Below are 21,785 nucleotides of genomic sequence, written 5' to 3' on the forward strand. Positions count from 1 at the left end.
CCTGCCTTGGCCTCCCAAACTGCCAGGATTACAGGCGTGAGCCACCATGCCCAGCCCAAATCTTCTAAATCCTTACTAATGTTTGGTTTGCTCTTGTGTGTTTGTCTCTCTGCCTTTAGTTCTATCAGCTTCTTTTATTTTGAAGTTCTTTTCTTATGCACATAAGTATTTATAACTGATAAGTATTTACAACTTATCTTCCAAAAAAGTTGACCTTTTAATCATTATGAATTGTCTTTCATTATCTACAATAATAATCCTTGTCTTAAAGACTATTTTTTGTTATTAACATAACCACACCAGCTTTCTTATGCAGATTATTTGCATGGTATATATTCTTCATCCTTTTACTTTGACCCCATATATATGGCTTTACATTTTATATTAGTCTCTTTAAGACAGCAAAATGTTGGATTTTGTGTTTTCATCCAGTCTGGCAGTGTCTGCTTTTTGAATAGAGTTTTGACTTACCTTTCTTTTCTTTCTTTTTTTTTTTTCTCTTTTACATGGAGTCTCACTCTGTCGCCCAGGCTGGAGTGCAGTGGCACAATCTCAGCTCACTGCAGTCTCCACGTCCCAGGTTCAAGCAATTCACCTGCCTCGGCCTCCCAAGTAGCTGGGATTACAGGCGCATGCCACCATGCCCAGCTAATTTTTTTGTGTTTTTCATAGAGATGGGGTTTCACCATGTTGGCCAGACTGATCTTGAACTCCTGACGTTAAGTGATCCACCTACCTTGGCCTCCCAGAGTGCTGGGATTATAGGCGTGAGCCAACACACCTGGCCGAGTACATTTTATTTAATGTTCTTATCGATTAATTATATTAATAATATAATTAATTATATTATTAATTATATTATATTAATATTACATTAATAATATTATTATAGTATATTATATTAATAATGTAATTATATTATTTATATATAATATAACATAATATATAATATAATATAATTAATAATATAATTAATAATATTCTTATCTACACTTCATGTTTAAGAATTTTTTATTATATAATTACATTTTACTCCCCTGGCTTTTGTGTTATGTCATATATTTTACTTCTATATGCATTATAAACCCTATACTATATGCATTATGAACCCTATACTATATGCCTTTAAATAGTTTTCTTTTAATGAAGTTAAGAGAAAAAGGGTTGCTTTTTATATTTGCCCACATATGCACTATTTCCAGTGTTGTTCTTTGCTTCCTATGTGTGTTCGGCTGGTATCATTTGCCTTTAGCCTGAAGAAATTTCTTTTTGTAGTACAGGTCTGTTGGATATAAATCTTCTTAGGCTGTGTTATCTCTGCAAATGGTTTTTTTCAACCTCAGATTTGAAGGATATATTTATTGGGTATAGAATTTTGGGTTGACAGTCCCCCCCACCCCGACCCCCAACAATATAAAGATGTTTTATTGTTGTTTGGGTCCATTATTTCTGATGAGAAGCCAGTTGTAATTTGAATAATTATTTCTCTGTCATTAATGTACGCATCTTTCTCAGGCTGCTTGTATGATTTTTTTCTGTATCTTTGATTTTTAGCAGTTTGACATTATGTGCCTAGTTGTAATTTGTTTTGTATTTCTGTATTTATGGTTCACTGAGCTTTTTTGGATCTATAGGTAGATGTTTTTCATCATATTGGAAAATATTCAGCTAGTATTTCTTCAAATATTTTTCTGTTCCATTGTCTCTTTTCTTTTTCTGTCAGCTAACAATTGCACGTTAGACCACTTAGTATTATTGAAGCTGTCTTCACTGAGGCTGTTTTTAAAAAATTTTTTTAAAATGCTTTCATCTATGTTCTTCAAATTGGATAATTTCTATTGATTTGTCTTCCAACTCATTGATCCTCTATGCTGTAGTCTTCAATCTGCTACTAAGACTACTTGCTAAATTTTTCATATTACTTTTTACTACTAGAATTGGCTTTCTTTTATATATTTCATATCTCTGCTAAGATTTCTCCATATGTTCATTTATATGTCCATATTTTCCTTTAAGCCCTTGAACATATTTATAATAACTATGTTAAAATCCCATCTACTCATTTTTACATCTGGGTCATCTCTTGGTCTCTGTATTGGCTGCTTATTTTTCTTTATTATGAGTCATGTATTTCTACTTTTGTATGACTTGTTCATTTTTTATTGTAAATTGGACATCAAGGATAATTCCTGGTAGGGAATCTGGGGTATGTTGTGTTCTTTGAAAGGAAATTGAATTTTCTTCTGGAAAGCAGTTAAATTACTGGTGGGTTTTCTTGATCCTGTTGGACTTGGTTTTATTCCCCTTTAGGTTGGCTCTATTTTAGGTTTTATCCTTATACCTACAGACACGACCTTTACTTTAGGGAGTGGTGTTTTCTCCAAGGGGTGCCCTTTCTGTGGTTTTAACTGAATGCTGAGGTGTTTGACATCTTTCCACTCTGACTGAACCAGGGCTCCAATGTCTCTCAGCATAGTTATGACATCTGGTGTTTTTGTTCATCTCCCAGGCTTGCAGTAGTTACTTTCTGCTAGGGCTGACAGAGTTTCACTCTTCACTTTTGTAACCCAGACTTTTGTCAAGGACTCATGGGAGACCTTCAAGCTAACTTCTAAGTGCCCTGTTTCCTCCTGTGGAATTGTCTTATTTCCAGTACTCTGCCCTACACATTCTGGTTGCTTCAGTGGCTGCGAGCTTCAATTTGCATCTCCTCAGTTCAGGGACATAGTTCTCTACTTGGGCTTCACTTTCCTTTGCCACAGTCTGGAAAGTGTCCTCAGGCAGAAAACCAGGGCAAACATGATTTCATCTTGACAGTTTCTCTTCTCTCAACAATTACTATCTTCCATTGCCTATTGTCCAATGTCTGAAAACAGGCCAGTATTCCACCAACTTTCTAGTTGTTTATGGCAGGAGGACAGACAGACCCAGTTCCAATAACTCTGTCATGATCTGAAGTTGAAGTCACATTCTTTGTGGAATGCATATTAGAGTTGTATGGTTGATTCTGTGTCATTTCACATTCTTTTTCTGTCAGATCTACACCAAACTCACCCTTTCAGAGACAGTGTTTACAGGCCTCTTCTTTCTTGGCTCTAAGCCAATTCTTTCTCCTTTATTTTCTCACTTTACCATTTTCAAATTCTTCCTCTTTTCACAGTTTGCCTGATTTTAAGAAATGGGACATTGTAGCACCCAGCATACAACATTCTGTGCATATAAATGTGGACTACTTTTGGGAGTGTGAAATTTTTCTCCTATTTAGAGCAGGACTGTAGGCCTTTTAAGTTTCTTTCCTGTTGTCTTTGAGTTTTTCGTCTTCCACAGAGAGCTGCCATAGGGTGTTTTAAATCATAGCAGAGGCCCTCTGGGGAAGCTTTGGGGTCTCTTTCCATCCAGTCCTTCTCAGAGGCTCCTTTACAGAGCCTGGCGTCAGCTTCACCCCTGAACCCATATCTTGGGATGATTGACAGTTTACTCCCCACAGCTGAGTAGGAGCACTAATGCCATGGTAATTATTCATTACAGAGGGATGGAGTAGACAGAGGTCTTCAGATTTGTGTGATGAATAGTTTTCTACCTGGTCACAGTCCCAGCATTTTTATTTGTGGCAAATTCATCATGACTCACAAAGCTTTATCTTCACTTCCCACCACTCCTTACTTAAAATTTCCTTTGGTTCTTTTTTTTTTTTTCCTTTTAGCATCAAGATAAAAAGGAACAGACACTTGTGTATTTCCCAAAGCAGAAAACCGGGAATGAATTACAATGGAAATCACTGTCAGTTTTTAAGATCTTCTTATAAATACAAACTAGTTTAATGTTTTTGATTGATACTTCATAAATAATGAAGTTATTATGAAGTAAGTTAAAATTAGTTATGTCTGCATGCATATTTTAGCCTCAAAGAGTGTGTCTAATTAGGTACTTTTGATGTGTGAGACATAATTATGTTTACCTTTAATTTGGCATGAAAATGACATTTCCAGAACCGAGTTTAGTGGTGTATTTTCCAACACACCGATAGAGAAATGCATTTCATCTCCTGGGGCCCTGTTGCTTCTTCCCACCATGCCCCCCCCACCCCAAAAATCATCATTAAAGTTAAATCAATATTTTTTAAAAAACAAATCTGTTTGTGCCTAAATTATACATCCTAAGACCAGAGCACCAAAATTAACACCATTTTCCTAGTCAGTGAACCTTGAAAATGTGTAATTTGGTGTCTACATTAATGGTTCACATGACTTGTGTTGCGGGGAGAAATCACATCTGCTCTCTGCAGTGAAGTGATAATTATTTCTAAAGGTCTGTGTACAGAGAGCCTTATGACCCTTTAGTTGCTGATAGTTTCACTAACATGGCAGTAAGAGTTTCAATAATGTAAGCAGAGGTGGCCTAAGTAGCACTAGAATGAGATAAGGACCTGGAGTGCTGACCCGGGTTCCAGGGTACAGGCAGAACTGCCCAAGCTGTAGTTAGCATGCCAAATGAAAGTATTCAGGTTCATAAGTCAGTAGGCAACACAGGACCCATGATTTCTTATTATCAGCTGACTTCAGATTCAGATTACCACTCTTTTTTTCTCTCTGTTCTTTGCATATGGATTTTTTTAATGTATTTATTTATTCTACCTATGCTTATTGGTTATTGTTTACTATTCAGTATGACAGACATGGGGATATAGGCCTGGCAAATAAGTTGTCAAGAAAATAGATCATCCAACATAGTGTAAGTATTCTGATAGGACTGTATGAACACTAGGGGATGCAGTTACCCCAGGTTGGGTTGAAGAGGAGCTCATGAAAGGCATCTGAGCCAAGTCTTGAAAGTTGAGTAGGATTTCATTGGGCAAAGGGGGTGATATGGGTGGTAGAAGGACATTATAACCAGAGGGAGCAGCATGAGAGAGGGTGGCACACTTGGGAGTCTATGTAGTTTAGTATGCTTGGAGCACAGGGTACAACAGTGGTAGAGGTGGCATGGGAGATTGTGAGAGGTGAGGCGGAGATGTAGGCATGGACCAGATCTTGAAAAGATCTCAGTGGTCATCCCTACCATCTTCTTTCCACTATTCATCTGCTTTCCATCTACTTTTTACAGAGTATGTAAACCTCATCTCTGTTGTCCGAATTGTCATGAGTTTTCAATTAATGAAGCTTAATTTAATGGTTTTATTATTTTTGGAGGGGGTATAGTTAAAGTCCACCAGGACATTCTGGTCTTATAAGAACACGCTGGCAGTAAAGTATGATATCTTTGTCAGATGGTTTCTATTTTAATACTTAATATTTTATATTTCAACTGCAGATCAAACTGAAGAACTTGTCTCTGGTACTAGGCTATGGGTCAAACCTTATCCCAGAGGGGTCGAGGTGGTGATTGTCCTGGTTCAAGCCAGACCCTCATTTCCTGCTATTGTCTGGTTCTGAGTTATTCTACAGTCTGCTGCTCTGCTCTGCCCTATTCTGGCCACATCCTTCTATAATTCTCTTCTTTTATTCTTGCATCAGTGCTGACATTTCAATTGTAGTGAGTCCTCAAGCTCTATGTCTGTAATCACTCAAAGATCAGTCTTAGATTTAAGCCATTATCTTTCTGTCATCCTAGCTAGTTAATTATTAACTATATAATCCATGTAAATGATAGAGGTGTAACATTTTTGCTAATACTAACATGGAATCTCTATTTTTTTCAGTCTGCTTTTTTTTTCTGGTTTTGGTTGGAGGGGCCCTATGAATATCTGTCATTTATAGCTGTGGGGGTGGGAAAGAGAACAGGCTTTTTTTGCCATTTCCTGTGTTTACAGGTGATCAAATATGCCTGATTCTGTGCCCCTCTACTATGGCAAATGAATTATATTTGTGTCCATGGTGAAATTTTGCTGTTTCACTGTTTCAAACTTAGCTGTTTGTTGAATCCATAGTTAATAACATCACTAGTGGTGATCATTTAACTATCTAGAAGACAGGCAGAAGAAGCAAATAGTGTAGATAATTCTGAAATTATGTAATCAAAACCCCTGGTCTATAGATAATTGATTTTTAATTATCATTGTTAATGTTTCAAATTTTATCACCAGCTTCTTTACTGTGAACCAAAAGGACATCTCTCAAGAAAACTACATTTGGCACTTTCCTCTATACAGTTATCTAGAAAATTGTTTCCAAATTCTATTTTGAGGTATACTAGTTTGTAGGGATGTTAATTGGCATTAGTAGAAAAATTGGCTCTTTTGCCACGAGCTTGGAAAATCTTGGGTTAAAACAAAGTCAGGTTTCCTTACTGTAATTCTTTTGGTGTCTTTAATATGCTAAAACACACTGTGGGTTTCCAAGCCAAAACCAGAAAAAGAAAAAAAATGTGTAGTGTTTTGCAGATTCATTTGACCATGTAACTCTTTTGGGGGATTATTTGAAGAACTTATGTTGCGGGTTATATGGCAGTTGCTATTGGCACAACTGATGATGAATTGTGAAACTTCGGTTTTTGTAAAATGTAAATGTATTCCTTTCTCATATAGAGGCAAATTTTGAGGAGTACACGTAGAATAATGAGAGAACTAAGAAAAACTTGATGTCTTAATCTTTGAGTAGAGGCTCAGTGACAAAAAGATGCATAGATGGATCTAACCATATTGTGGGTTCTCATTTATTCATCTATTAGTCAATCAGCAAGTACTGATGGAGACCTCCATTAGGAGACAGGCACTGTGCTGGGCACTGGGGTGAACAAGACAGCATTAGAGAGTGAGATAAAGGCATAATGGACTGAACATATCATTAGTTAGTGAAAAGAGCTGGTGGTAAGTGCTGTAAAGTAAGTGACAGTGGCTGCAGAGAAAATAGCAGTGTGGGGGCTACTATGGCTAAGGCGATTGGAAAAGGCCTCCCTGAGTAGATGATATTTAAGCTGTAGATTTAAAGGGTAGAAAGATACTGTTCCCTTGAAAATTTGGGAGAAGATCAGAGAGATCAGTAAGTACAAAGACCCTAAAGTGGGAAAGAATGTTTGGTGGGCTATCAGAGCCTGATGTGTTGGGAACTTTGTAGACAAAGGGACACATAGCATGAAAGGTTGGAAATGTAGATAGAACACGTAAGGCCCTGTAGGCTGAATTACATGTTTGGTTTTTACTCAAAGAAAAATGGGAAGGCTTTTTTTTTTTTTTTTTTTAGACTTTTAGGGAGAGGGAGGATGTAACCTGATTTACCTGTGAGAACGTTCACGCTGACTCCTGAAGGGAGAATTGTAGCCAGGATGAGTGGAAGTAGAGAGCCCAGTGGGAGGCTGGTGCAGGCCCAGGTGAGAGATGGCAAAGGCTAGCTTGCACTACAGTGGTATTTAAAGAGACAGATGGAGGGGATTAGGCATATTTGAGACATGTGTCTCAGTAAAACAAATGCCTGAGTTAAAAACATTTATTATTGCATCACAGGCACATTCTGAGATGCAGTATAATTTTCTTTTCGTTTTTTCTTTTTGAGACGGAGTCTTGCTCTGTCGCCCAGGCTGGAGTGCAGTGGCGCCATCTCAGCTCACTGTAAGCTCCACCTCCTGGGTTCATGCCATTCTCCAGCCTCAGCCTCCCGAGTAGCTGGGACTACAGGCAACCACTACCACACCTGGCTAATTTTTTTGTATTTTTAGTAGAGACGGGGTTTCACCGTGTTAGCCAGGATGGTCTCAATCTCCTGACCTCGTGATCCACCCGCCTCGGCCTCCCAAAGTGCTGCTATTACAGGAGTGAGCCACCACATCCGGCCTGAGTTGCAGTATAATTTTCAACTTGATAAAGGATACACATTTTCTCCTATTTCCTTTTGGTCCAGACCTTTTAGTTTTGGTCTTCACAGGGACCTATAGACCCCTCTGCCTTCCACAACCCTCTCTCAGTCTCCTGAAAAGAGGAGAATGATGTGATTATTTAGTTAGATTTAAGTAGGATGGGGAAAATAAATTAGTTTTGCCTGCTTTTAGTGTTGTAGGCCTCTCGTACCTGCCTCTCACCTAGGCAATAAATAAATACATAAGGAAATAAATAACTCTATATGATTCATTCTGGCTTACACTGGGACATGAGACCCCTGGATATATCATTTGTACATACTTCTTCTCAGAGGCCATGAAGACACTGTGGCTGTCATAGGGAAGGATTTTTGTTTCTGGCTGAGTATCATTCTATTCCATTATGGCCCATCATTGACATTTATGATATTGCTTATAAAAAGAAGCTGAACATGAGATAGTGTGCAAACCTATATTGGCATCACTTTCCTTAGATTTTAAAATAGAGCAGATAATCTTCTAAACCCAATTGATAGTCAAGTTGGCAGAAATCAAGGGGGTTTAGAGCACCATTCCAGCTTTTCCATGTCATGGCACACATAGAAATGAGAGCAGGTTTACAGTGCAGGGCAATGAGTGGACCAGGCTACCCCCAGCTGGAGAAGACCAGAGTCAGAGCTCATGCCCCCTGGGTACTGGCTGGCAGCTTTGATAGAAGGGGAGTTAACATCTGTGGCATGTATTAGGTCCCGTTAGCTGTCTACCAGATGTACTTGTTACAACATTCTAGGCTGGAGGATTCCATGTGGAGAAAAGCCAAAGTTATACCAGAGATAGGCCTGTAAAATCAGTTTTCCACTGGCTAGCCATATGCAGAAAATTGAAACTGGACGCCTTCCTTACACCATATACAAAAATTAACTCAAGATGGATTAAAGACTTAAATGTAAAGTCCGAAACTATAAAAACCCTAGAGGAAAATCTAGGCAGTACCATTCAGGACATAGGCAGAGGCAAAGATTTCATAGCAAAAACATCAAAAGCAATTGTAACAAAAGCAAAAATTGACAAATGGGATCTAATTAAACTAAAGAGCTTCTGCACAGCGAAAGAAACTATCATCAGAGTGAACAGGCAACCTACAGAATGGGAGAAAACGTCTGACAAAGGTCTAATATTCAGATCTACAAGGAACTTAAATTTACAAGAAAAAAACAACTCCATCAAAAAGTGGGCACAGGACATGAACAGACACTTCTCAAAAGAAGACATATATGCAACCAACAAACACATGAAAAAAAGCTCAACATCACTGATCATTAGAGAAATTCAAATCAAAACCACAATGAGATACCATCTCACACCAGTTGGAATGGCAATTATTAAAAAGTCAAAAAACAACAGATGCTGGTGAGGCTGTGGAGAAATAGGAATGCTTTTATACTGTTGGTGGGAATGTAAATTAGTTCAACCATTGTGGAAGAGAGTGTGGCAATTCCTCAAAGATTTGGAACCAGAAATACCATTTGACCCAGCAATCCCATTACTGGGTATACACCCAAAGGAATATAAATCATTCTGCTATAAAGATACATATACACTTATGTTTATTGCAGCACTATTTACAATAGCAAAGACATGGAATCAACCCAAATGCCCATCAATGATAGAGTGGGTAAAGAAAATGGAATATTGTGCAACCATAAAATGGAATGAGATCATGTCCATTGCAGGGACATGGATGGACCTGGAAGCCATTATCCTCAGCAAAGTAACGCAGGAACAGAAAATCAAACACCGAATGTTCTCACTTATAAGTGGGAGCTGAACAATGAGAACACATGGACACAAGGAGGAGAACAATACACACTGGGGCCTTTTGGGGGGTGGCAGGGGAAGGAGAGCATCAAGATAAGTAGCTATTACACGCTGGGCTTAATACCTAGGTGGTGGGTTGATAGATGTGGCAAACCACCATGGCACACATTTACCTATGTAACAAACCTGCGCGTCCTGCACATGTATACCATAACTTAAATAAAATTTTTAAAAAATCAGATTTCCAAGTCATGGCATTTTTATTCATTCTGTAGGAATGGTTAAGGCCAGTGTTATGCACTCACTGACCTTGATCTAGGAATGGCTTCTTGGAATTAGTTTATTTCCTTGTCCATCTCAAGCGTATAACTCTATTCAGAGTTGACAATTTGATTCACATCTTTTATCAGTCATTTCCTCTATGATTATGTAGGGACTGACTGACAATGACAGATAAAACACTTTGCCTAAACAGCATCAGAACTTAGAGATTTATGTATGAAAAAGTGATAATGTTTCTGGGTTGCTGGATTGCAGAGGAGAACTGCCAGAAAATATCACATTTAAAACTCTTAAGTCACTATAAGTCTTGGTGCTTTGAAGAGGGCTTTGGGTGCAAAGTAGTACATGGTAACTACTAAGGCCGGTACCTCTAATAGCTAGCTCCCTGAAATACCCAGGATGGGTTGGTGGTATTAGTAAGTAGTAATAATTATGACAGTGATTTTGGCAATTCTGAGGACTAAATACATGATAGCATGAACTAAAGTCATTGAATTGTCTGCATTATCTGGTATAAGAATCAAAACATTGTGTTTATGGCATCCAGATTGCTGAAGAAGTTTGTCAGATTTTAGTTGCTATGTATTTCTGTGCTTAGATTTTCACTGAATGGACCAGTTGTTTTGGATTTTTTTTTAATTTTAATGAATCAGACACCTCCCTAAATGCCCCATCCCCACTTCCCAATAAATCTTGTCTCAGAGCTTCAAAGAAAGAGGTCAATTCAACCAGTGTATTTATTGGACCTTCAAGTATTTACTTTTTGCTCACAGTTTTTAAGATCAATGTTTTTGAATTTTATAGCAGGGTTTTTATTCTTTTTTGTAGTGGGACTTAAATCAAGGTTTCCATTGACTAAGCCATGATCTTCCATGGTGAGTTGACTTCTTCACAAATGGGCAGATTTTGCCTATGGCATAAATATAATTGATTAATAATATGCTGATAGCTTTACACTGTTGTGATGTAGCAAATCAGCTTCCGCATGGCTAGTGGAAAGAAGGTTGATCTCTTTGTGAAAGGATGCCACTGGAGTTCACCACCAGGGCCCTCAGAGAGCTGAGAATAGGTGTGGGGTGTGCGTGGCAAGTGCTTGGCTCCTACAAAAAGAAATGGCCCCTCTGTCTAGGAGTGTGAGTTTCTGCCACTCACTATCATTCCAGATCATTTCTCTGCAAATTAAGAAGGTGGTATCTGTTTAGTGACTTCTTCTCTTGAGTGTTAGCATCATTATCTAGTGTCAGGAAACCCCTTAGAGGATAGACTGAAAAGGAAGTGCCTGGAGGAATCTCCCTCCCTCCCCTATCATAACAGCTTCTGGCTTCAGGCAAAGGCCAGGTGAGAAGGTGAGTTGCAGAGCCACCAGTATCACTGCCCAGGTGCTGCGTGCCTGAGGACTTCTGTGTCAGGATTCTGCAAATCTAGCTGACAGGTTTTTCTACGACTTTCTAATTAAGTCTGTAAGTGTTGACATCTTTCTTACATATGCGATAAAGAGAAAGGAGGCAGGCAGCCCTGAAAATGAAAAAAGAAGTCAGTTTTAAAAATGTGGAATCTACAGGCAGCAATTTTCCTTTCCTCTATGTGAAAATGACATCAGGAACTTTAGCACACTGGCAGGATCTCATGGGTATAGCTTTCATTGCCTCTTTTTATTCTCTTCCTCAATATTTCCCACTTATAGAAGCTTCTAAATATGTGTTTGATGGCCTGGGTACCCTTTTTTGCTATTTTAACAGCACCTGTGGTAAAGGTGTATCCCAAAGCGTCACTAATGGTTCAGAAGGGTTTCTTTTTGCCCTACTGTGCCAGGATGTTATGAAATAACTTAAAAACTATTTATAACATACCTACTGAAAAGTTTCTGGAATGTGGTAGTTTTCTTCTTTCCCTTTTCCATAAACAGCAAGTGAAATGAGAAGAGGACCTTTTGAAGCCTATGTAAGCCTGCAGAAGGAGCAGGCAGCTGAACCGTCACCAGGCGCCCTATTATTTTTTACTTACATGGAGGTGATCCCTAACCAGTGTGTTTTTCCTTTCTAGAGTAGGGAAAGGAATTTTGGCGGCTTTTGATGTTTGATGCACCTTAAGCAGGCATTATTCAGAAAGGCTTTTGTCAGGATTCTGGCCTGTTTTACAAAAGAGACATAGGACAGAACACCTGGGTTGTACATCTGGGGCATGAGGGAAGGAACAGTTTACTTTGAAAGGGAATTTTCCATTTTCCTTGGGAAGAAGTGAACTGCCTATAATAATGGAAAGAAGAAAGAGTTAGCAATTTAAACAATTTACATAGCAAATTAATAGCATAATAATTATCTATTTGCTTATTTAAAATAGGCCAGAAATGCCTACTTTTTTCATGGAAGATTATTTCATTCCATGTACTAAAATAGAATAACACCATATAGAAAAGCAGTAAAAATGAAATAAGACTTTTGAAAACATATTAATATATGAAATATTTATTATACAGGCTCAGTAGTGTTTGCATTTAATCATTTTTATTGTATATCGGGGTTAGTCATTTCATTCTGAGTTCTGAAAAATGAACATGAGATGTTTTGCAAGCACTGCTTTTTTCTGGAGTGTGCTCTCAGTGGGATTTACTGAGGAAATACTTATTCGTTGAGAGGTGGGGGCATGTGTCTGTAAGTGCATTACAAATGCTTCCCATAGTGGCACTAAAATGATTAGAGGAAATGAGAGGGAAGCCAAGAGCAAGGTTGCTTCTGTGAAATGGATTCTTACTGGTATGCTAAGAGGACTGTGGATGAGTTGGGGAAACTTACTCAAAATATCAGGGAGGCAGTACCTCTTTTCTAGCTCTGTGCTTTGAAGACCACATCTTTCTCTTAGGATCTTTGGATACTAGTCTTTGTACGAGCCTTTTTTTTTTTTTTTAATTGTGTGACCTTTGTGTGAAATAACTATATATTTTTTCTGTTTCCAGAGCATGTTTATATGATTTTCCAAGGATTAGGGCTAAGAGTTGGAACATTTGTGATTTAGCTATTCAGTAGGCAAGAGTTAACTGACTGAATGATGCTGTATTTCAAGTGGAATCACAGTGCAGGGCCATGGAAAGCGGCCCCTCATTGGTAGATTTTCTGTGTTAAATTGTGAGTTCTGTTGCAGGGGAAAGCCTTTTCCTCAGTAAGGTCAGTAAAGTTTAATAACAAAGGGCAGTGGACAAAGTATTTGGTCACTAAATCCAGGTGAGTGTCAGAGCTTGCCGTGTGAGGTGATGTCGGGGACTTGGATATTGGTGTGGAACTGGGTATAGGACTTCATTCTTTTTCAGGCCATTTGGCCAAAGTGGGTGGCATTTGGCAGATGGTTAGCTGGAGCTTGGCACCAACCACTTGGCAGTGTGTAGGGGTGTAACCAGGGTTGTGAAATGGTAGTATCTTCCAACCAGTTCCATGTTTGAGACACCATGATCTGCCATCAACAACATATTCGTCTCTGGAAATGGTTACAGCTATGATTCCTGGCAGTGCCATCCCACACAGACTGCAGAAGAGATTTATAAGGTCATGCCCCAGGCATCAGAACCATCTTGCATAGCCAGTGAACCTCCTGGGGTTGATGTTATGTGGAAAAATGATTCCATTTTAGTGTATGCACTGGCTGAATGGCAGTTTGTGCCAAGGAGGTTTTTTCAGGTCATTTGAAGCTGATAGAATAGCACTGGTTGAGAAATGGCAGCAGGAGAGGGAATGCGCGGGACTGAAATGATGCCCAATACTCTGAGTTTGATAGAAGGTAATTACAGAAGTGAGGGTTCTGGTGTGTGAATAAATGCTAGACAGACCCCTGCATTGCCTAGGAAGCAACATGGAATTTCATATTGGAAAGGAATTTAAATGAAGGAGAGCCCTCATTTCAATCAAATTATAGGCTGCGTTTGGAAAAAAAGTGATCTTGATCTGCCATTGGTTAAAGAAACATTTTAACACTTTCAATGAGTATTTAGGTCCTAAATTCTGTTTCAGGGCTCAGCTAAATTTGAGTCAAGAAATTCTTAAGAAAAAACTTTCTGTTGTATATGGTATCATGCATTTCCTGAGGATTTGATGAATTTAGGGAATCTTTTAAGCTTACTATCCCTTTTCTAGTTTCGATTTTTAAAAACTTTTTCTAGGATAACTGGAATCCAGGAGATCACTTAAAATGGTTTGTGATGACATCACTAATCTAGAGATCGGAGAATAGGTGGGAATTAGGAGAGGCAGTGATAGGAGGTTTGAAATTTGGGCTGTTAACTAAATAGAATGTATTTAACCATGCATACCACTTCTGTTTACTTTTGTGGCCTTTGAAATGCTGTGATTTTATTAGCTAGCCAAATTTCAAGAGTCTGGAGGGGAGAGGCCTGGGAGGAGGCTGAGACACATAGTGGGCAAGAACAGCTGGAGAGAGGCTAAGGACAGGATCAAAGGTACAAGTTTCTTCTTCAACCCTGTCATTCTCATTACCATTTGGGACACACAGGGTAGCAAATCTAGTCACCTTGTAGCAAATGCAGGGTTTAGGCATACAACAGTGTGGAAGGCCTGAATAAAGCTTTCCCCACCTGTAGTTCTCATGCATTATTTATTTCTGATACCTCCGCTGTTTCTCCTCTTACAGCTGCACTCAGTCTGGAAGAGTAAAGGCTACACAGGAAATCCTCAGCTCCTGGCCTAGTGCACTTAGAGAATATTGCCTGCCAATTTGGTAACTACGATAACTGCAGCAATATTCTTGGGTAGCTTGTTTTCAGGACATCTTTAATGAGAGAAGAGGATTTGAGGAGGCTATTAGCCTTGGCTGTACTAAGTTTAGAGTGCTGTCAGTGATCTACTGCATGGATGCCCCCTGCTGATTTCTTCCTTGATTAGTCTTTTCTAATGTTCTTGCCTGGATGCATCTGTGCTGCAATAAGAGAATTAAAATTCATAATCTCTGCTTGGGATCCTGAGGCTGCACTCTGTTCTGGAGCCCAGACGTCTTTTGTTTCCTAGCTTTGCCACTGAAAACAGATTTCCTGGCACGTTGGCTGATAGTTGGATGAGCAGCATTGAACATGAGAAAGAAAATGCTGGGAATGGAGGATGGTCAGTTACAGTCTGTCTGACTCAGAAAAGGGCATTCCAGCTGCTGGAATTACATTAGAAAGGGCTGTCATCAGTGAATACCCATACTGAATCAAGAAAATCAAGAAACCGGGTAAAGTAAGGGATAGGTCATTTTAAGCAAAAAGACGATTAAATAAAATCCTAAAGTAATATTACCCATGATTCCCTGCCACTGTCCTCAGGAAATCAGCTGGTGCTTACCTTCCCCTCCATTCATTTCTTTTTACAACTGTATGAAAAAGTCTGACATGGGGCTGAAGAGTGAGTTTTTACCAAGTAAAACTATAAGAAGTGAGCAGCTGTGCAGGTAACATGAGCTTTGCCATGTGTAGTAGGCCCTGTTCTAGAAAAAGGAGAAAGAATTGTGGGAGGTGAACAAGAGGCATCTGGGTGACAAAACGGTGTATGCTAGCAGTGGCCTGAGAGGCAGCCAGCATTCAGAAACAGAGAGTACACATAGATCTAGGCAAACTAGGCCCTTCCAAAGCAACTGAGATTCCCAAACCTAGAGGAGCTGGCCTGTTAGGTTATCAATGCACCTTAGACACTGGGGGAGTAAGATAGGGACACAGCCCTCCTATGGGGAAGGAATGGATAGAGTTGGACTTTAGTATCTAGACCATAAGATGATCCTTAAGGGTAAATACCATGTATCATGCAAAGTAGGTCTAAATTAATATTTGTTGAATAAGTAAATGAACATGGAAAATTATTTCTTGCTGCTAAGAATAGATTTCAGATATAGGCTGTTAGCAAAGGCAATTTAATGCTGATTTGTTGGTAAGTTGACTTAGATATGTTGGTGAGTTGACAATCCTCTCTCCACTTCTTTCCCAATAGGGGCAGTTTTAGTCATGTAGGGGTGATGCTGAACCTGGTCTGTGTAGAAGAAGCTTACTCTAGAATCTGATCCAGTGACACTAGTTAGATGCAAGAAAAACATAGGAGCAGAAAACATGAATGCCCTTGTATGCTTAGGCATGCTGCTGCCTGACTTTCAAGAAGGGAATACCTTGGAGTTTGTGAACTCAGTGAATTTATACCCTTCCTTTATTTTTCTCCAGAGGATTTAAGGAAGCTATCCAAAGTGTATACAACATAACCCCACATGATAAAAACAGGTAGCAGTCTTGGGCATGACAGCCAGTATGAAAGACTGGCCCACTTTTATAATCTCCCATGTGGGAACAGTGCTTTTACTGAACATGATTGCCTTTGTGATGTTTGCCTTGCAAGGTCGATGAATCTTGCTTTACAAACCTGGTTTGAGTCACATTTAATCATATTTATTTTTCCTACAAACACAAACTCCGAAGTTTAGTCTTAAGTATCATCTAAGTAATCTGGATTTTGAAACCCTGGTTCTATTATATAAGCAGTGATGAATGGAAAGAGTGATATTACACTTCCTTTTTGCAATCTTTCCAAGCTGCAAATAAAATAAATTTGCACCTGAAATATTTATTTAGAAAAAAGTCAAATTCTAGGTTTTGGATGCTTTTTTTCTTGAAATAATAAGAATTTTTCCCTAAAATCTTTTCTTAATCACAATATTTCTGTTGTATGAAGTATTTATGGAGCAAATCAAATCACTCAGTGGTCACTAAATATGTTGTGTTTGTCTGTGTGTAAATGTGTGGTGTGTGTCTTCTATGTGCCCTTTAACATGTGAGTGTTCAGAGTCCTGTCATAAGATGGATTTGTGGTAAGGCAATGTTTCTTAAAGTATGACCTTCTTACCACCTGTGACAGAATCACCTGGGTGCTGGTTAAAATGTGACTATTTTGGCCACTTGTTCTCAATCGTAATTTTTTGAGGCTAAAATCTGGGAATCTATATTTTATATAAGTGCCCCTCCAGTGATTCTGATACAGAGGTATATAAGAATGAATAATTATTTTTTTGATAACATGATTAATACCAAGTGAATAGGAAGTAAGAAGGGAAAGGTCATACTGTTTAAGATATTGGAGAAAAACTTTACAGAGAATGCAGAATCTGAAATTTTCTAGGTGCTAAGGCAGGAAGCAGACATTTTATGCATAAGGAATGGCTCAACAAAAGGTGGAGTTTAAAAGATCAGAAAACCAAACACTGCATGTTCTCACTCATAAGTGGGAGGTGAACAATGAGAACACATGGACACAGGGAGGGAAACATCACATGCCAAAGCCTGTTGGGGGTGGGAGCAAGGGGAGGGAGAGCATTAGGACAAATACCTAATACGTGCAGGGCTTAAAACCTGGATGGCAAACCACCATGGCACATGCATACCTATGTAACAAACCTGCACATTCTGCACATGTATTTCAGAACTTAAAGTGTAATTAAAAAAATCATAAATAGGCCGGGCGTAGTGGCTCACGCCTGTAATCCCAGCTCTTTGGGAGGCCGAGGCAGGTGTATCACTTGAGGTCAGGAGTTGGAGACCAGCCTGGCCAACAAGGTGAAATCCCATCTCTACTAAAAATACAAAAATTACCCGGGCCTGGTGGTGGGCGCCTGTAATCCCAGCTAATCGGGAGGCTGAGGCAGGAGAATTACTTGAACCTGGGAGGCAGAGGTTGCAGTGAGCTGAGATCATGCCATTGCACTGCAGCCTAGATGACAGAGTGAGACTCCATCTTCAAAAAATAAGAATAATAAATAAATAAAAAAAATAAGATCATAAATAGATCTGCCTCATTAAAGTGAAAGATTTGTTTCGCCTAGGGTAGTAGAAGGAGATATTTGTATGGGTAAGATGAATCAAGCTGTAATGAGGGGCTTCTGAGAGATAAATTTACTGGAATTGAGCTCAAGGGGAAAGCCACTGAAGGTAACATGTAATATTAGGCCCACATGAATTATTTTTCTGTCACCTGACAAAGACAGAAATGGGCATGATCTCTAGAATTTTGGAACAGAAAAATGAACCCACGTGATTATAGGAGGAAAACCATTTGGGAAAAATGTATTTGGTTTTATACTATTTGTTTAGCACAAGAGATATGGATAGAAATTAGTCTGTCCAGACACCATCTTTACAATACAAAGTCACCTTTCTTTATCTTAGTCTCATGTTGTGATTTCAACATAAAGCTCATTTTTACAAATATCTAAGTCAGAGTCACTGTGTGTATGTGTTCCATTTATTTGTATATGTTACATAAGGTCTTTTTCACCTTTCTTTTATTTCCGTCTCTGTAGCCAGTCTAGTGTAAGAATTGAGAATGGGTCCTTAGTAAATCACAATTTCTTCTTTTTCATCTCATTTGATGTACATACTAACCCTGTGAGACAAATCAACAGGCTTCATTAGGGCATTTTAGCTGTGAAAACCAAGTGGGGGGAAGTTAAGTCCTGTGGTGTGCTCAGTGTCATGCCTGGCTCCATGAAGCAGGTCGAGCCAGGTTTCTGGATCCCCAAGCCAGTGCTTCTTCTCTTTATACACTGTGGCTTCTTTGAATGGACTTGCTGATTTCTCCGACCTCATCCTCATCCCAGAGAGAATCTTGTACAAACCCATCTCGCTGCATTGCAATTCTTCGTTGACTTTTTTGTCTATGTGCTGTACTTGATTCGGAGTGCGCTTTTTGAGGCCTGGGGTTATGTCTCTTTCCTCTGTATCTCCCCAGTCATGGCACGTAGTAAATAGTTATGTTGTAATATTAAATGAAAGAGTGTGTATAATTTTGTGGTTAAAACTAAAAATAGTCAAAAAGACATAATACTGGACGATGAGAACCCAGGGGGCATCAGTTGTTATTTTTCTCTCTCTTGTATTCTCAATTCCTGGCACAGTACAGCACAGAGTAAGTGCTTAATCAGTATTTATTGCATGAAGAAATAGAGGAAGATGAGCAAGGACTGTCACAGGTAGAAAAGAACTTGATTTGAACCCTGAACCTGGTAGAATAAGTAGGCATTTCCTAAAGGGCACCAAGCAGGAAAGGGATTCTAAGGATAGTAATTGCTGTGAGTGGAAGACTTGGGAGAATGAATGAGGAATTGGTCCTTATGAGAACTAAATAATTATTATTTTTTCTCTCTGAATGGTTGCTGTGTGTATAGTGCAGATGAGAAACTACCAGATACTTTTTTTTAAATTGAGAGTAGAAAATTACCATATCCTTAAAGGTTTTGAAATGTCCTTGGTGAATGCAAGGATCAATTTTTTGACAAGTGTAAGGGGTGCTTTAGACTGTTATGTTCTGGCATCGTTAATGGACAAGCAATATGTTGGTTGATGTGAGTGTCTCCTAATGGAGATTGGTTAGGAGCTAACGGTCTGCATGAGCATTTTGGGAAACTGACACTAAAAGCTGATGAAGTTCGTCATCTCAGGTAAAGCCAGAAGGATCTGTGAAAGAGATAAGGATTGGAACAAAATGATGGAAGAGTGGATGTTGGATCTCTATGTCCTAGTGATTTTCATCAAATGAAAGTAGTTACATAAGTTATTTCAGTTAGGTGGCAACTGTGATTGTTCCTTGCATTTCTATGAATGAGGCTGTTGTAAGTGCATTCTTATTAGGAAATATGGCATGTTAACTAAAATCCAAAGCCATTTCATGACTAATGCCACTTACCATAAAGCTGACCTTTGACTGTGTAGTTTTAATTGGATATAGCACCTGTTATTTGGGCTTTCTTGACTTAATGGAGAATTCATAGAACTGGCATTTCAAACAAATAATGTTTCTGAAACGCTCTCATACTGAAAAATGGCACTGAAAATGTATTCTGAGTAGAATTTTAAATCTGAGGAATATGATATGCATAAAAATTTGACTTTTGTGCAGTGGCATCAAAAATTTTCTCTAGGACTGGTGTATTTATGTGAGAGTTCACCGGGCCAAGTAGACTTAATTATGAGACTAAGTGACTTTATTTGCATCTGTGCTGGTGGCAGAATAGGAAATTCTAATTGTGAGAAGAACTGTGGGACGGGACCACCCACAGTAACATTGTGATGAAAGTAAAACTGAGAAATATTGAAATAGTAAATGTACAAAAAATAGGGTTCACCTACTGCTCACTCTCTAAACTTTTATCCATGGGGGAATCTGGGAGATAGATTCTCAAATATTTTAAAGAAAATATCTGACCTCAGTATACTCCTTTTAATATGCTTACAATAAAACTGTATGGGATAAGGCTGGGCGCAGCGGCTCACACCTGCAATCCCAGCACTTTGGGGGGCCAGGGCGGGCGGATCACCTGAGGTCAGGAGTTTGAGACCAGCCTGGCCAACATGGCAAAACCCCATCTCTACTAAATATAACTAAAAAAAACAAAAAACAAAAAACAAACAAACAAACAAACAAAAAAACAAAAAAAAAAAAACCTGGGCGTGGTGGTGTGCACTTTTAGTCCCAGCTATTCAGGAGGCTGAGAGAAGAGAATCGCTTGAACCCAGGAGGCAGAGGTTGCAGTGAGCCTAGATTGTACCACTGCACTCCAGCCTGGGCGACAGAGCAAGACTCTGCCTCAAAAAAAAAAAAATATAGGATATTATCCTCAGGATAGTTAGGAAAATAAAAAAAAGTATAATGGTGGTCATGATTATATTTAGGACATTATACTACTGGTACATGATCATTTTAAGGAATGGAGATGAATACATATGTTTACTAGTAATGGCTAGTGTTTACTGAACAGTTAGTTTAGCAAATACAGAATAAACTTATTTGATCTTCCAACAAGCATGTGAGGTAAGTATTATTTATTATCCCCATTTTACTGATGAGTACAATGAAGCACAGAGAGGTTAAGTAACCTGCCCCAGGTCAAACAGCTAGTAAGACATAAAGTGGAGATTTGAACTTGGGCAGTCTTTGGTTCCTGTGCTGTTAAACGCTGTAATCCCTCTGTGTTTATAGAATTGGAAGTTGGAAGAGTACTCTGTAGTATGCAACGTCTACTGCCAGAGTTATTCAGAAGGCAAGGGCACAGCCCATAGATAATAATGTTTTCAAGAGATTCTATAATTTGTATATTTGCCTCACAGGCAGCAGGATTAGGTTTCAACAATGACACAAGTTTCATTACAGGCAGAATCCAGCAAATTGTATCTCAGCATTCACTGATTAAAGTCATGGTCTTGGGTTTAATTGATTGGCTGGTTTATATGCTTAAAATTCAATATTGATATTTACAAGTGGACACATTGGCTTTGATTAATTGCCGAATTTATTTCAGTACAGCTTACTTCTGATTGTGTAATCAGCATTGCTGATTTAATAATCAAGTTCTCCTGCTTCCCAGATAATGACATTAGGTACCCAAAGTGACAATGTGAAGATTGACACATTTCTTTTTAATTGAACTATAAATTCACTCCAAGAAGTGATTCTCTTGTCTCTTGCTCTCTTCCTTCTTTCATTGCCTTGACAAACATCATATTAAGTCTTGCTAAGTGCCAGAACTATGCTAAGTGTAATGGCTACAGTGATGAATATAACAGGAAGGCTGTGCCTGTCTCTCCTTTTACTGTAAGTTTTGCGAAACTTCCAGTGTATGAGATCCTTTTTTTTGAGATGGAGTCTCACTCTTGTCGCCCAGGCTGGAGTGCAATGGTGCAATCTCAGCTCAGTACAACCTCCGCCTCCCGGGTTCAAGCGATTCTCCTGCCTCAACCTCCCAAGTAGCTGCGATTACAAGTGCCTGCCACCACACCCAGCTAATTTTTGTATTTTTAAGAGACTGGGTTTCACCATGTTGGCCAGGCTGGTCTTGAACTCCTGACCTCAGGTGGTCCACCTGCGTTGGCCTCCCAAAGTGCTGAGATT

The 21,785-nt window shown here is 38.9% G+C and overlaps 1 protein-coding gene across 7 annotated transcripts in view, besides 1 other annotated feature; it reads left to right on the forward strand.

Moving 5' to 3' along the window:
- Positions 1-21,785, forward strand: part of CCDC85A (coiled-coil domain containing 85A) — a 202,323-nt gene that overhangs the window by 100,765 nt on the left and 79,773 nt on the right. The gene's annotated exons all lie outside the window — the stretch shown is intronic.
- Positions 2,996-4,195: an enhancer, noted in NCBI's record as "P300/CBP strongly-dependent group 1 enhancer chr2:56514747-56515946 (GRCh37/hg19 assembly coordinates)". NCBI's record gives its function as "activates an origin of replication core promoter dependent on BRD2, BRD4, P300/CBP, MED14 and CDK7 cofactors, with strong dependence on P300/CBP, by STARR-seq in HCT116 cells {active_cell/tissue: HCT116}" and the evidence as "EXISTENCE:reporter gene assay evidence [ECO:0000049][PMID:35650434]".

This window comes from Homo sapiens, chromosome 2 (assembly GCF_000001405.40).
Source record: "Homo sapiens chromosome 2, GRCh38.p14 Primary Assembly".
Taxonomy (NCBI): Eukaryota; Metazoa; Chordata; class Mammalia; order Primates; family Hominidae; genus Homo; species Homo sapiens.